Genomic DNA, 16392 nt, shown 5'->3' with positions numbered 1-16392 from the left:
AAGCACATCTTGTTAACAAGATGTTAAAAAGGATTCATTTGAACTCCACTTGGGTCCCAATGCTGATAAAGACTAGGTGTAGCTATATGCAGAACCAGACCTAAGTCAGTTTCTCCATCACTAGTGCATTGCCCACTGACTTGTAAGCTATAATACAAGAAAGAGCTAAGAGTACTGGAGCAGTTTTCAGCTAAGGGCAAGGACATTTTGGCAGCGCTTGTTTGAAGACAGTGATTTGAAAAGAATAAAGCTATTGTATAATTTTGCCTCTTTGTCTCTTCCCACAGTCAGAATTATTGAGAAAGTAATGAAGTTTTAGCTCCAGAACCTCTTCTCAGGCCCTGGAAGGAGACCTAGCAATGTGTTCCCAGGTCATACGTTTTGCAAATTTTGAAAAAGATATTTTTAAATTCTTTTTCTTTCTTTTTTTTTTGGTGGATCTTACTCTGTCGCCCAGGCTGGAGTGCAGTGGCACGATCTCAGCTCACTGCAGCCCCCACCTCCCTAGTAGCTGGGAATGCAGGCACATGCCTCCACACCCAGCTAATCTTTGTATATTTAGTAGAGATGGGGGTTTCATCATGTTGGTCAGGTTGGTCTCGAACCCCTAACCTTGGGTGATCCACCCGCCTCGGCCTCCCAAAGTGCTGGGATTACAGGCATGAGCCACGGTGCCCGGCCTAAAATTCTTTTTCTTAAAGAGAGCCCCCCAAAACTGTGTAAGTTTCAAGCCCCAAAACTTGGATCCATCCCGGCCCCCTCCCAAGTCCAAGCTGCTTAAGTAACCAGTGATCCATGTTTAGTTCATTGAACCCTTGAAACAATTCTATAATATAAATACTATTGTCATTCCAATTTACAGATGAGGAAACTGAGGCTTAGGGAATAGTCATTGCCCAAGTTCTCACAGTTAGTAAGTGGTAGAGCTGGGATTTAAATTCAGTAGCCTGTCTCCAGAGACCAGACCCTTCACTCCCTTCACTAGAGTGCTTGATAATGGTGTCTATTTGTTTTCTTGTCCATTTTTCCCCACTAACTAGGAAGTCCCCAAGGACACAAAGACAAATCATTTCTTTTTCTTTTTTCTTTTCTTTTCTTTTTTTTTTTGAGATGGAGTCTCACTCTGTTGCCAAGCTGGAGTGCAGTGGCAAGATTTCAGCTCATTGCAATCTCTGCCTCACAGGTTCAAGTGATTCTCTTGCCTTGGCCTCCTGAGATTACAGGCGCACGCCACCATACCTAGCTAATTTTTGTATTTTTGGTAGAGATGGGATTTCACCATGTTGTCCAGGATGGTCTTGATTTCCTGACCTCGTGATCTGCCCACCTCGGCCTCCCAAAGTGCTGGGGTTACAGGCGTGAGCCACCGCGCCCGGCCAAGACAAATCATTTCTACATGCCAAGCATACAGCCCAGAAGAGACGTCACCATATGTTGGGATGTAAGAAAGAGGAAAGTAGCCCCCAAAGTCCAGAGGCCAGCCTGACACTCACAGCCAGGACTTGGCCTTGTCCTGTTGAACATAAACAACTTCATAGAACATCAACAGCAGACAAGGCCACTCTGTGACTGTAATGGATCAAAACACAAATAGGACCACTCTGTCATCATGTCTGAACACAAACAAAAAATGGATATTGTCCAAACCATGAAAAAGACCAACCCCCCGTCCGTGCTAAAATGAGAGACTGCTGCTTCTTACCTATGACAGCTTTAGCCTTGGTCTAGCCTCCCCTCCTTCTAGATACATTTTATCAAGACCCCCAGTCATAGAATTACCCTTGCTCTTGACAGCATCCAATCCAAAGCCAAGCCCTGCTTCCTTAAACTCTCCCCAGATTGTCTAACAAAAGCCCAAATTCTGTAAATTCTTTCTTCCACCTTCCTACAGAAATGCACCCCCTTTGCCCTTATTTCCCCATTGCCTGCCTTCTCTCTTGCTGCAATGAATAATTAATACAACTTCTTTAATACAGGTGTGTTTCCGGTGGTCTTTGACTGGAATGGCATCGACACAAGTATCAGCTATCAGTGAGCATAAAATGTTATTATCAAAGTTAAAAAATGTTGCTTCTCAAAACTAGTTGATGATAAGAGACGGAAAGTAGTTGTTCCTTCTGGAGGATGGGTGGGGGTGATTGATTACAACTGAGAAGCCAACCTTTCAGGATATTGGAAACGTCCTACATTTTGAAGTAAATGGTAGTTATAGCAAATGTTTTTAAGAAGTTAAGCTGTATACTTTAGTGCCCATTACATACTTTATTGTATACCTATTCTACCTTTATTTTAAAAGTTTTGTCCACTGGTGGTGCGTGGTGGCTCACACCTGTAATCCCAGCACTTTGGAAGGCCAAGGTGGGCAGATTACTTGAGGCCAGGAGTCCAAGATCAGCCTGGCCAACATGATGAAAACCCATCTCTACTAAAAATACAAAAATTAGCCAGGTGTGGTAATGTGCCTGTAATCCCAGCTACTATGGAGGCTGAGATGGGAGAACTGCTTGAACCCAGGAGGCGGAGGCTGCGGTGAGCTGAGATCCCGCCACTGGGCCACAGAGCGAGACTCTGTCCCCCCCGCCCCCCTAAAAAAAAGGAAATCCAAAGCTGGTCACCCAAATACCAACTTGAAGCAATTTAGCAACAAAGTAAAGGCCAGAGTTGGGATGGTAGCTGATAGATTTGAAGGGAACTTTGGGCTACTGGAGGATGAGATCTATGATGAAAATGCTGGAAAATCAACCATTTGCTTAAAAAGGTAAAGGCATTTGGGTTGTTTATCCTAGAAAAGACCGGATTGGAAGGAAGTATAGTTAAACTCAACTGTTTTATTTTGCAACAGGGAAGAATCTGATTGTGCCCAAGGAAGAGCTTCCTAACTGTGACAAAGGAGGTAAAGGAGGTGGTGACATGCCCATCCCTGGGAAATTTTAAACTCAGCTGGCCAGCAAATGGCTCCAGCATGGCCTGGTCTGGGAGTAGGAGACTGAAAGAAATGACCTCCAGCTGTCCCTCTCATGACCAAGGACCTCTGGCTTGTCGTGAGTGTTCTGGCCAGCTGCACAGCACGGATTAATGGGCCAAAGGGAGCCGCTCTCTGATCTGCGCTAAGCTTTTCAGGTTCTGTGGCCACCGCCATCAGCCACAGATTTAATGAGATCCGAGGCTTAATTACCACAGTGCAGGGCTGCCAGCACTCTCTCCTGATGACTTTATCTTGGCTCCTGGAAGGATGGGGGTGACAACAGTGTGTCGGCAGGAGAGGAGAGCCTAAAGCAGGGACTCTGGACCCTGGTGTTTCGGGGGGATGTGGGCTGCAAGAGTAGGGTGGAGGGGGCGACTGCAGGACTCAGTACCTGACCTCAAAGAGCTCACAATGTGTCAAGAGTTAAGACCTCTAATACAGGAGATACCCAAGGCAGTGTGAGTCGACTCACATGTGCGAGGCACACACAGATGTCGGCGGAAACTTTGGAGGCATGAACAAAGCTCCCAGAGGAGGGGCGCTGAAGGGTGGGGGGTGGGGCGTGGGGGAGTGCAGGTTGGAGAAGACCTTGAATGTCAGGCTAAGCAGTTGGGACTTCACTTCATAGGTAGTAGAGGGCCGTTGAACGTTTTTGAGCTGCCTGAACGATCCAAATTTCCTATAGAAGTTTACAGAACTCCTGAGGATGGGCTCTGCCTAACGCCCACTCCCCCGAGAATACTCTCCTTCCATCCCTCACACTTAGCTGCAGCCAGCACTGAACTTAATGCCATACTCTGAAACGTCCTTCACAGTCTCTGTACTCCTGGCTACGTTCTTTCCTTATATCGGGTCTCAATGTTAACAAACATCACTCCCTCTAAAAAGCCTTGCGGACACCGCCCTTTTCCCCCAAGCCTGGCCAGAGGCCCCTTTTCAAGGCTCCCACGCTTGCTGTGTCTCCCCATGAGATCACGGCTCTGTGCTGTCATTATTCATTTGTCTGAATTCTCTGCTAGACTGTGATTCTGTTGAGGCTAGGAGCGGTATCTTGTCCATCAGTGTCGCTAAGAACCAGCATTAGACAGTAATGTGGGATGGATGCGGCCCAGCAGATTACTCGGGTTCCTCCCCTTTCTCTGCCAGGGAGTCTTTTGAGGACAATGGAAAATCACAGGTGTCAACAGATGCAGGCTGGTAGGGAATGTCCCCTTAATTTGAATGATCAGTCTATTATTCTTACAGGAAGCAAAGTGTGCAGAAGACACAAAACAAACTCCAACCTCCTCCCACCTCCTTGAGAATAAAGCGAAGCGGGGACCATTTCTAGGCACGCCTGAGGACTATTTGAGGAGGGTGAGGCGGAGGGTTACGCACGGGACTAAGGCAAAACCCTCCGCTCGAGAGCAGAAATCGCGGCGGCACCTCTTCAGGCCACCAGGGGGAGGAATCACACCGCATCCCAGGCCTTGGGCGGTTTCGCACGACCACGCGGGGCTGGACGGTCGCGTAGAACTCTGGGAGGTGTAGTTTTAGAGTTGTAATGCGCAATCTCGCGCACTGTACATCGGGAATTGTAGTTCTAGATTGAGGAACGAGAAGTGCTTCCAAGCGTCCATTTTGAGCCTTGGAAACTACGACGACCAAAGGGCCACGGGTTCATGGGTCGTTTCTCATTTCCGTCGAGTTAAACGTCTGGGGCTGCTTCTGAGGAATCAGCTTGACTGGGTAAGTTTGATTGGAGAAAACACCTATATCTCAATTGAGCTTCCTGCAGACTTTTGTATTCTGGCCCGGTTTGGGGCCTCGGCGTCTCTCAGTCATAGGAATTGCACATTAATCTTCGTCCTTTACGTTTCCTATTCAGACACCTGTAGCCACCCGCTCCCTTGACCCTCCCACGGTCGCCTCGCACTTTTAACGGCCAGTGCCCCTGGAATCCCCACTGAGCTCCCGTCCCAGGACCCAGCCCCCGCAGCCCCACCTTGGACCCCACAGCCCTACCCTGATTCCTCGGCCCTACCTTCACCCTGCAGCCTCACATCCCTGAACCCCGGGCTTCTTTATGCTCCTCCACCCTTTGTGTACTTTACTCTTACTCTCAGTTTTCTGTTTTTCATGGCGGTGGAAGAAGGGTCCCCATTCCTTCTTTCCGATCCGCGATTACCCTGGACTCGAAGTCAGCAGACCCGGTTCTAGGCCAGCTCTGCCTCTCACCCTCTGTGACCTTGGGCAAATCATACAACTCTGGGACTCAGTTTCTTCCTCTCTAAAACGGAGATGACTGTTGCTCCATCAGTCTCAGGTGAGGAGTGTTGAGGAGCCAACAAGCTAGTATGTGTGAAGATGCCTTGTAAACTGTAAGACCTTCACAAGAGACAGAGATTATTTTTATCACAATTATTAATGCTCTGGAACACTCTTATCAGGCCTCTTCTCTAGCTCTGCCACCTTGTTGCTCAATCTCATCCCTCGAGTGCTTGGTGTCTTCATTGTCTACGAGCTGGATGATATTTCCTCACTTCCTCCAGAGACCAAAGGTCAGGCCAATGAGCTTTTAGTCTTCAGAGAGCTTTGTCTGAAAGGAAGCACAAGAGAAGTGCTTATCTTGGACTGTATCTTGAAATAGCCAGTGATGAAAGTGTCACACAGCTGGCAGAGCAGCAGTCCTCTGCTCACCAGAAACAGGGTCCCAGCAGGAGAGGACAGCTGCAACCTAAGCCCCATCCATTCCCTCTGGGCTCCTCTGGGCCTGTTCAGTAGACACTGGCTTTGGTAGGGGTGTCTGAGGCCTGAAAAGGCTGCTGGGAAAGAATCTGTTTTGCCAAAGGGCTTAATCCAGGAAAAATGAGAGACCTTGGCTAGGAAAGAGAGACATAGCATTGTTAATTAGTTCCTAACATTTTATAAGCACTGAAAATGCACCAGGCCCTAGGCAATATTTTCACTTACGAAGTATCCATTTTACGTATAAGGAACTTGAGAGGCATGTAGTTAAAATAATTATAGTTGCCTCCTATGGTTATAGTACCTTCTATCCATCGAGTGCTTTACATGCATTATTTAATCCTCATCAACAATCTCGTGAGTAGTTACTATTTCTTTTTTTTTGAGATGGAGTCTCGCTCTGTCGCCCAGGCTAGAGTGCAGTAGCGCGATCTCGGCTCACTGCAAGCTCCGCCTCCCGGGTTCACGCCATTCTCCTGCTTCAGCCTCCCAAGTAGCTGGGACTACAGGCGCCCGCCACCAGGCCCAGCTAATATTTTGTATTTTTTTTAGTACAGACAGGGTTTCACCGTGTTAGCCAGGATGGTCTCGATCTCCTGACCTCCTGATCCGCCCGCCTCGGCCTCCCACCGCGCCCGGCCCATAGTTACTATTTCTTTTTGAGACAAGACCTCGCTCTGTCACCCAGGCCGAAGTGCAGTGGCACAATCTTGGTTCACTGTGGCCTCCGGCTCCCAAGCCCCAGCAATCCTCCTACCTCAGCCTCCTGAGTAACTGGGACTGCAGTTGCATACCACCACATCCAGCTAATTTTTTTTTTTTTTAATTTTTTTATAGAGACAGGATTTTGCCATGTTGCCCAGGCTGGTCTTGAACTCCTGGGCTGAAGCAATCCTTCCCATTTGATCTCCCAAAGTTCTGGGATTATAGGCATGAGCCACTGCGTCTGGCCATAGTTATTATTTCTGTTGTGAGAATAAATTATCAGAAGCTTAGAGTTTGAGGAACTTGTTCAAGATCACACAGCTAATAAGTGACAGGGGTAGAATTCAGAGTCATCAAAACCTTTGTCCCCCATTATTTCATATAGCCTTATTTTTAGATCAAAAACAAAGATTAAAGAAGACTTGAGATGGGTTTAAATCATAGCCAAATGAAGGAACATTTATTGAGTCCCAACTATATGGGGAAAGCATGCAGATAGACAGTTTGGTCTACAAAAAAATATAAAACCCAATCTTTACCCCCGGAGTAGATCTGAAGAGATGAGGCATAAGTGTGCCAAAAATTAAATAGTATTCATTGGATAAATTAATTATTGAGACCAGCTATATGCAGGGCACTACATTAAGTCTAGTGATAGGAACATGCTTCTGGGTGGCCATGGGGATTATAGCAAGTGAAATCGTAGTCGTGAAAATGTGGACCAGAACACAGTATATACTCAGTAAGCGTCTGCTGCATGCATACGTGTCTGAATGAAAGAAAAGTTCATCCAGAGACATTTCTAATCAAAGTCTAGACCAGAGGTTCTCAAACTTTGCTGATCAGAAACACCTGGGAAGCTTTTACAAACGAATTGATCACTAGAAATAGGGGCCCCCAGAATATACATTTTTGAAAAGCTTCCCAGGTGATTGTGACAATAGGTTCAGGAACCTAAGATCTAGATTCTCTATGGACCACTGTTGCAGGCAAGTCACTGGTTGAAAACTGCTAGAATAGGTGTTAATCCAAGAGCTGCCCTAAAGTAGTCTAAGATTGGTTACCAGATAATGGATGTGGACAGTGATCAGAGATGATAGGAGGAAAGGTTGGAAGGACCTGGGAAAGCTTCACAGAGGACTAGAGATTTCACTGGGCCTCAGTGGATGGAGAGGCTTCTGGACAGGTACTACCATGAACTATTTAGACAAAGTGAGCAAAAGAAGGTAGAGACACATAGACTGATTTCCTTGGAAAATTCCATGACTTTTATTAGAAATGACTCTGGATGCTTTGTGTAAATGTCTCTTTGGCAAAATTTGCAACTCAGATTGGATTTTTCCATCTCTCCATCCTATTTGGACATCAGTCAATGTGAGTCCAGGAAATAAAGATTCATTTGCGTGTTAGCTTCACTCTGGCCAATTAGCTTCTGTAATTTTTATTTCCAAACAATTTAGTTGATGATCTTCCCAGAAACTTTCCAGGAGCACCAGAGAGTTCTGCTGTCTTCTGTTTGGCCATTTCCAAGTCCGCTTATCCTGATTCCTATCCCAAGTGCTGTTCTCTATGCAGAGTGAGACAAAAATCTGTTCCCATAAGAAGCTTAAGGACTATTGTCCTGGTTCCCCAATCTTAAAACCTGACTTATTGGCTCTTGACTCCCCAGATTCACTCAGTGGCCAAACCCTAGTGTTTCTACTTTTCACTCAATCAGCACATTTCTTGGATGCTTCCTAAGAGTCAGGTACCACACCAGATGCTTTGAATGCATTATTTCATTTTATTTCCACAGCAACCCTGTGAGGATGGATAGTGTTCCCATTGTACAGATGGGGAATCAAGCTTAGAGAGATCAGATAACTTGCATAAGATAAGAAAGCTAGGCAGGGCTGGCACGGTGGCTCACTCCAGTAATCCCAAGCACCTTGGGAGGCTAAGGCAGGATTATCGCTTGAGCCCAAGAGGTTGAGACCAGCCTGGGCAACATGATGAAACTCCATCTCTACAAATAAATACAAAAATTAGCCGGGTGTGATGGCAAGTGCCTATAGTCCCAGCCACCCAGGAGGCTGAGGTGGGAGCATCACTTGAGCTGGGAGGGTGAGGCCACAGTGAGCCACTGCACTCCAGCCTGGGAGACAGAGCAAGACCCTGTCTCAAAAAAAAAAAAAAAAAGCTAGGCACCAAATGAGCTGGGCCTCCAATGTGGTTCTTTCAGACTATCTCTCATGGACATGACCTCATTTCCAGAGTAGATTCCAACTTTTTAGCTTAGCACTTGAGGGACTGCTCCTCCCCAAATCTGGTCACAACTTTCTCTTCTCACCTTGCGTTGTTTCTCACACAAGCTTCCTTCTTACCGTGCCTTTGCTTGCTCTCTCCTGCTTGAAAGAGCCTTTCCCATCTTCCCCTGCTCTCTACTTCCAAGCTAAAGGAGCACTGTTTCTTCTCAGAACTCCTGTGGTCTTTTATCTGCTTTTCTTTTATGACAGTTGAACTTGCAGCTGCTTCATTGTCATGTGAGTGACAGGTGTCTTGTGGCCCCAGCAGTAGGTCTTCCATTTGCAGACCTCAACAACAAGCGATGGGGAAAGGTCAGGGTCTCAGGCTAAGCAGAGCTCATCCCCCTTCACTCTGGCTGAACAACCCACTGACATCAGGAGCTTAGCTTCTTTTTCAAAAGAATTGGGTTTGTTTTTAAATTTGCTAAAAAGAAACAAAATGAAGATGCTATCTGTAGTAGAAAGAAAATAATTTCTTATCTTTCAAAGTTAAATAGAATGATGTTAGGATTGTTGAGACCAGACAAGTGGCAGCTGACAACCAGGAGACTGTGTGTTGTTATCATCGTTCTGCTTGTGACTCTGAGCAGCTCACTTAATCTCTCCGGACCTTGGTGTCTTCCCTGGTAAAGCACGTGTATGTACGCGGAGAAGGGGAAAACGATTGTGGAGGGGATTGACGGAAATGCTCCCTTAGGTCTCTTCTTACCCAGACATGCTTTGACTGGAACTCCTGAATCCCTCCCAGAGCATCTTAAAGGAAGCAGAATAATTTAATCATTAACATGTGGACCCCAGACTCAGTGTGTATCCATTTAGATGCTTTTGGTTACAACCAAAAGAAATCTAACTTCAGTTGGTTTAACCAAGAAAGGGAACTTACTGACTCATGTAACTAGAAAGTCTAGGAGTGGGTCAGGTTTCAGGTATGGTCTAATCTGTGGATTCTTAATGTCTTCACAAATGGGCCTCTATTTCTCTGTGATTCTTCTGGTTTTCCCATCCACCATGGGTATCTTCATCCTCAAGGTGGCAAAAGTGGCTGCTGTGGTTCAAGGCCACTTGACAGGTGACATCTGCACATCACACTAGTCCAACACAGGAAATAACTTTTCTCCCCTCAACCGTCATACCAAAGTCCCGGGTTTTACGCCTATTGGACCAACCTAATGCCATACGCGCACTTTTCATCCAAATACTGACCGGAGAATAAGAAGGACTGATTGGCTCCGGTTAATTAAGGCTCAACTCCGGAGGTTAAGGAGGGGTCAGCCCCACCCAAATCACAAGGCAAGGGACACTGGGAAGTTTGACATTCTCATGTTACAACCACATTGTCCATGATCGAATTCTGGCTCTGCTCGCCATATGTTATTGGGTAAATTGCCTTTGTCAAGCATCTGTTTCCTCATCTGTAAAATGAGATAATAATACGTATCTCAGAGGACTGTTGAAAGAATTAAATAAAATAATATGTGAAAAGCACTAAACATAGTTCCTGGCACAGAGTAAGTATGATGATGATGGTGGTGTTGGAGATGATGAAACTGAAGAGGGTTAGGGGAGCACTGGCACCAGTTTAGGAAGCAGCTGAGCCGTAGGAATGTTATCTAGTCAGGAGTGTGCATGCCTGTCATGCTGAAAGCATCTGTTTGATCTACTGCCCACATCATACTTTTCCCTACCTCTGCTTTTTTTCCTCTTAGGATTTTTTCTATAAGTGCTTTCTTCCTCCTCCCCTGCCTCTCAACTTCCTCATCTTTAAAGGCCCAGCATAAGTGCTACCCCATATTCAGTAGTTTAAAAGCTGGGTGTGGTGGCTCTTACCTGTAATCCCAGCTACTTGGGAGGCCTAGGCAGGTGTATTGTTTGAGCCCAGGAGTTTGAGACCAGCCTGGACAACATAGCAAGACCCTGTCTCTCAAAAAAATCAAACGGTTTTAAGAAAAAGCTTAGTTCAGTAACTTTGCATCTGTATAACTGAATCTCCCCCTGAGCAGGATCAGTAATGGTTAAGAACTTAGCTTCCGGATTAGGCAGAGATGGGTTTGCCACTGGGTAACTTGGGAAGGTTATTCAACCTCTTTATGCCTTAGTTTCCTCATCTGTAAAACAGGGTCTTTTGTTTGTTTGTTTGTTTTTTGAGACAGGGTCTCACTCTGTCACCCAGGCTGGAGTGCAGTGGTGCAATCTCGGCTCACTGCAACCTCTGCCTCCCAGGTTCAAGCGATTCTCTTGCCTCAGCTTCCTGAGTAGCTGGGACTATAGGTGCCTGCCACTGCACCCGGCTAATTTTTGTATTTTTAGTAGAGACGGGGTTTCGCCATGTTGGCCAGGCTGGTCTTGAACTCCTGACCTCAGGTGATCTGCCCGCCTCGACCTCCCAAAGTGCTTGGATTACAGGCGTGAGCCACCGTGCCTGGCCAAAACAAGGTCTTAATAGTACCTACCTCAGGCCAGGCGCGGTGGCTCACGCCTGTAATCCCAGCACTTTGGGAGGCCAAAGTGGGTAGATCACGAGGTCAGGAGATCAAGACCATCCTGGCCAACATGGCGAAACCCCGTCTCTACTAAAAATTAAACAAAAAATTAGCTGGGCATGGTGGCACGTGCCTGTAATCCCAGCTACTCAGGAGGCTGAGGCAGGAGAATCGCTTGAACCAGGGAGTCGGAGGTTGCAGCGAGCAAGATCATGCCACTGCACTCCAGCCTAGCAACAGAGCGAGACTCCGTCTCAAAAAAAAAAGTACCTACCTCAGAGAGTGGTTGAGACAATGAAATGATGCAATGTGTATAGTGTCTATAAAGAGGTCAGTACAGTGCTAACCGTAAATAATGGATCTTAGTGGTTACTATTAGCCTCAGGAGAGCAAGGTCTGTGTGACAGTCTCTGCAGCAGTAGCTGCTGGATAAACATACGTTAATGGGCTGTAAGGAGTATGGATGGCTCTCTTTCGTCTTCCAGCCATCTCCTCACCCTAGCAAAATAAAAAACAACCCCCAACCTTGGCAAAGGCAATGTAGCAAAGTAGTAGGTGCAAGATTTAATGAGCGACGGCAGGGAGGATGAGGTGCTAAGGAGGGGTGGACAGGGTAACAGATAACACATTTCAGCAACAGGAAGCCGAGAGGAAACCAGCAAGCGGCTGCTGTTCTGTGTTCCCCCATCCAGCCAGCAAGTTCAGCTCCGGCAAGTCATTTGATTCACCCGGTGATGAAATGGGGGTCAACCAGTCTGTGGGCTTTCCACCTGTCACAGGACCCCACCTCGTAGGCTGTGGGGATGTGATGGAGGGTCAGAATCTCCAGGTAAGTGTCCCCAGCTCCCTTTCTTCTGTTTGCACTGCTTCTGCCGGCACCGTGACTTACTGATCACAAGTCTGATCCTGTATTCCCACGGTGGGGAAAATGAATTAGAGCGGGTCTGGATTTGGTTATCAAGCCCCCAGGTCTGTCTTCCTGAGCTTTTTCTTCCTCTTTCCAAACATTAGAAACATCCCAATAGACAGAGATAATGCGTTCATTTTCCACCTAGGAGGAAAGGGGGGACTCTAGCTTTAGAGGCAGCTCGCAGATCCTCTCACCTTTCTTGAGGGCAGATGCCTGATCTTGGAAGGGTTTTAATCGTATCATAATCTGAGTGTGTGAGAGAAAGAGCCATGGGCGTGTGCCTTTGGCCTTGGACTCCCTGACCTGGGTAGGGGGACAGCTTCCTTTTCTCTCTCCTGCCTTGATCTGTTTTCCCCTCCTGCTTTGACTTCTGGACTGGTCCTCTATCTTATATATATGTATATATAGTAGAGACGAGGCCTTGCTATGTTGCCCAGGCTGATGTCTAACTCCTGGCCTCAAGCGACTCTCCTACCTCGGCTTCCCAAAGTGCTGGGATTACAGGCATGAGCCACTGTGCCTGGCTTAGTTCCTAGGTCTTTCTCTGCTAGCCCTTGGACTTCCTGTCTCCCTTGAGAGGCACACACTTCCTAGTAACCCCTCACCTACTCCCATGTAAAATGAGTGTGCTGTTGCTTCCCAGGGGCTGTCCTAGAGCAGAGTGGCCTGGATGAGCTACCAAGGCCACCCTGTTCAGCACGAGAACTAATCTCTAACTCCTGGGGCTCCTCTAGGCCTAGGTTCAGGGCCAGATTTAAATCTTTCATTGTCCCAAGCACTCAAATATTTTTGGTGCCCCCTCCCACAATGTAATTCAAAATACAGTTGGCTATTTGAAATAACGTAAGCTTTACATATATGCTAAAAATCAAATTGCTTCTTTCCAGATTTCTGAATGTGAAATTCAGGCATGCTAATTGAAACTTCAGTTTCCCTGTTTTGGTGCCCTGTTTTGCTGGTGCCCCAAACACCTGCTGAGTGTGGCTGTTGGGAAATCTAGCCTGGGCTCCTTGCTCTGAGCAGCTGCTCTCTTCTTTCCTACAGGGGAGCTTCTTTCGACTCTTCTACCCCTGCCAAAAGGCAGAGGAGACCATGGAGCAGCCCCTGTGGATTCCCCGCTATGAGTACTGCACTGGCCTGGCCGAGTACCTGCAGTTTAATAAGCGCTGCGGGGGCTTGCTGTTCAACCTGGCGGTGGGTAAGGGCTGGCCTGACCTCTGCATGCTTTCCCAGTTGCTTGGTTATGTTCCTGGGAGATCCCCAGGTGGACGCAGTACCTTATAGCCTGCAGTGTCCAGGCTTTTGTAAGGGGCATCCATTAGCCAGTGTGGTATGGAGAGTTGGGAGAGAATTACATATGAAAGAGCTTTGGTGACTGAGTTAGACTTTCCTGGATTCAAATCCAGACTTTATAAGTTACTAGCCATGGGGTTTGGGCAAGTTACTGAACCTGTCTAAATACATGTCTTTGGGGGTTTGTAGTACGGGATGTACGTAAAGCCTCTAATGCGGTGCTTGGGACATATAATGTGTTCCATAAATGGCACTGATTGCTCCTTTGTTTAGCATGTATTAATTCCTACTCTGTGCCAGCTATTGTGTGTATCAAAGAAAGATTCTTAACTGTCAAGGAGCGTACAGTTTCCTGCAGTTTTCCCTCCAGTCACCCCTCTTCTGAGTAGGGTAACATTGAGTCATCCACTTCCCCCAAAGGTCCCACACCTAGGAATTCCACCCAGTGCCTTGGCATCTCAGCAGTTTACCCCGGGTTCAGTACTGCCACTTTGGACTTAGCTTCCCATTTTCTTTTCCTTTTTTTTTTTTTTTTTTTTTTTTTTTGGTGAGATGGAGTCTTGCTCTTGTTGCCCAGGCTGGAGTGCAATGGCACAATCTCAGCTCACTGCAACCTTCGCCTCCAGGGTGCAAGTGATTCTCCTGCCTCAGCCTCCTGAGTAGCTGGGATTATAGGAGCCCGCCACCACGCCCAGCTAATTTTTGTATTTTTAGTAGAGACGGGGTTTCACTTGGCCAGGCTGGTCTCTTGACCTCGTGATCCGCCCTCCTTGGCCTGCCAAAGTGCTGGGAATACAGGCGTGAGCCACTGCGCCTGGCTTAGCTTCCCATTTTCTGTTGTGTTCACTCTTCCTAGGGAAGAAAGGGAGAAGAAATAGGTGATTAACTGCCCTGAGCTGCTCAGGGGCCGATGGTGGTTCTCCAGAGGGGAGAAACACATGTCCCCACCCATACCTATACTCAGGCTGCCCTTGGGATAACAGCTTTGGGGCAGCCAGATATTCTATAGCCCATGTCTCTGCTAGGATCTTGTCGCCTGCCTGTTAGCTGGAATGGCCCCTTTAAGACAAAGGACTCTGGATACCCCTTGATCATCTTCTCCCATGGCCTAGGAGCCTTCAGGTAAGAGCTTCTTTCCCCCAGACCTTGCCATACTCCTTGCCTGGTGACAGCTGCTGAGTCTTAGCTTATTCTCAAAGGGCAAAAAAAAGACATTTCCATCTGCTAGCTGTCTTATCTCCCATCTGCTTCGTCCCATAGCATTGGGTTCACCTTCCCCAGAAGGCCTTTTTCAAGTCCTTTTCACCTTGTGGAGCCTTTCAGCAGCCTTTATATGCTTTACTTCTCATGGTCCAGCATTTATATAAATAAACACTTTTAGCTTTCCTCCTATGTGATAGCCCAGAAATGCTAGAAGGAGCATGAGCTTTGTGATCAGAGCATCATTTATTTATCTATTTTATTTTTATTTTTTTCAGACAGGGTCTCATTCTGTTGCCCAGGCTGGAGTGCAGTGGTGTGATCACAGCTCACTGCAGCCTCAACCTCTTGGGCTCAAGCAGTGCTCCTGCCTCAGCCACCAAGTAGCTGGCACGTACCACCACGCCTGGCTATTTTTAAATTTTTTTTTTTTTTTTCAGGGACGAGATCTCACTGTGTTGCCCATGCTGATCTTGAATTCCTGAGCTCAAGCCATCCTCCCGTTCTAGCCTTCCAAAAGTGCTGAGATTATAGGCATGAGCCATTGTGCCCCACCAAGAGTCATTTATTTAACATGAGGGTTCACTCTGTGTGTGGCATTGGCGTAGTAGCGAATAAGAGACTTGCTCCCTGCACTTGTGGAGCCAGCAGCCTCGGCCTCCCAAAGTGCTGGGATTACAGGCGTGAGCCACTGCGCCCGGCCCCATGTGTTCTTATTTAAGCTTGTGAATGTTCTCTCTGTCTGTTCATCAACATATATGTCTAGTTTAGGTCCCAGAATGTTGCACATCTCAAAGGCATCTGTTTTTGCCTCTCAGCCCCCAAACCATTGTCCACATTGTAGCCATGGAGATCTTTTTATTTTATTTTATTTTATTTTATTTTATTTTATTTTATTTTATTTTATTTTATTTTTTCTGAGACAGAGTCTCGATCAGTCGCCCAGGCTGGAGTGCAGTGGCGTGATCTCGGCTCACTGCAACCTTTGCCTTCCGGGTTCAAGCGATTCTTCTGCCTCAGCCTCCAAGTAGCTGGGATTACAGGCACCCAACACCATGTCCAGCTAATTTTTGTAGAGACAGGGCTTCACCATGTTAGCCAGCCTGGTCTTAAACTCTTGACCTCAGGCAATCCACCTGCCTCAGCCTCCCAAAGTGCTAGGATTACAGGCATGAGCCACCGCGCCTGTCAGGGAGATCTATTTTAAAACGAAATATGATCTTGTCATTCCAGCACTCAAAGCAGTGCCCAGCATATAATAGGTACTCAATAAATATTTGTTGAGTGAATGAATGAATGTTTTTTCCCACTTAAAAATTTTTGGCCGAGCGCGGTGGCTCACGCCTGTAATCCCAGCATTTTGGGAGGCCGAGGTGGGTGGATCACCTGAGGTTGGGAGTTCGAGACTAGCCTGACCAACATGGAGAAACCCTGTCTCTACTAAAAATACAAGAAATTAGCCAGGTGTGGTGGTGCATGCCTGTAATCCCAGCTACTTGGGAGGCTGAGGTAGGAGAATTGCTTGAACCTGGGAGGTGGAGGTTGCAGTGAGCCAAGATTGTGCCATTGCACTCCAGCCTTGGCAACAAGAACAAAACTGCATCTCAGAAAAAAAAAATTTAATAGCTCTTTGAACCTAATTCAGTTCTTTTCATGGTCTTACCTCAATGCAGGTCCAAGACAAAGTTTCTAGGCCTGTTCCTTGCTATTTGCCCCAGTGTAGCTCTCCAGACAAAATGGCCTTCTTTCACTTACTGAAAGGCACTGGGTTATTTCCTCCCTCGCTGTCTTCATCTGTGCTATGCTTTGTGGCTGATCTTTTTGCCT

At 46.9% G+C, this 16392-nt stretch overlaps 1 protein-coding gene across 6 annotated transcripts in view, besides 4 other annotated features; it reads left to right on the top strand.

The window, feature by feature from the left end:
• Positions 4510–4559: an enhancer, noted in NCBI's record as "active region_474". NCBI's record gives its function as "activates an Ori minimal core promoter by ATAC-STARR-seq in GM12878 lymphoblastoid cells {active_cell/tissue: GM12878}" and the evidence as "EXISTENCE:reporter gene assay evidence [ECO:0000049][PMID:35858748]".
• Positions 4570–4659: an enhancer, noted in NCBI's record as "active region_473". NCBI's record gives its function as "activates an Ori minimal core promoter by ATAC-STARR-seq in GM12878 lymphoblastoid cells {active_cell/tissue: GM12878}" and the evidence as "EXISTENCE:reporter gene assay evidence [ECO:0000049][PMID:35858748]".
• PAFAH2 (platelet activating factor acetylhydrolase 2) overlaps positions 4655–16392 on the top strand; it is a 38297-nt gene continuing 26559 nt past the window's right edge. The window contains exons 1-5 of one of the 6 annotated variants that reach the window (XM_047421698.1): positions 4655–4693; positions 5100–5270; positions 11855–11991; positions 13117–13270; positions 14391–14487. In XM_047421698.1, the coding sequence (XP_047277654.1) occupies positions 5246–5270; positions 11855–11991; positions 13117–13270; positions 14391–14487 (413 nt within the window). In that variant the 5' untranslated portion in view covers positions 4655–4693; positions 5100–5245. Of the gene's footprint in view, positions 4694–5096; positions 5271–11796; positions 11992–13116; positions 13271–14390; positions 14488–16392 lie in introns of those variants that run through there. The other 5 variants (XM_011541528.3, NM_000437.4, XM_006710670.4 and 2 more) reach the window with 5 other exon arrangements.
• Positions 4830–4909: an enhancer, noted in NCBI's record as "active region_472". NCBI's record gives its function as "activates an Ori minimal core promoter by ATAC-STARR-seq in GM12878 lymphoblastoid cells {active_cell/tissue: GM12878}" and the evidence as "EXISTENCE:reporter gene assay evidence [ECO:0000049][PMID:35858748]".
• Positions 8636–9147: an enhancer, noted in NCBI's record as "NANOG hESC enhancer chr1:26320062-26320573 (GRCh37/hg19 assembly coordinates)". NCBI's record gives its function as "activates a minimal SCP1, AML or CMV promoter by ChIP-STARR-seq in primed H9 embryonic stem cells {active_cell/tissue: H9 hESC(primed)}" and the evidence as "EXISTENCE:reporter gene assay evidence [ECO:0000049][PMID:30033119]".

The sequence above is a fragment of the Homo sapiens genome, chromosome 1, assembly GCF_000001405.40.
Source record: "Homo sapiens chromosome 1, GRCh38.p14 Primary Assembly".
NCBI lineage: Eukaryota > Metazoa > Chordata > Mammalia > Primates > Hominidae > Homo > Homo sapiens.
The sequence above is the reverse complement of the archived record's forward strand: the minus strand, read 5'-3'. Positions and strand labels throughout refer to the sequence as shown.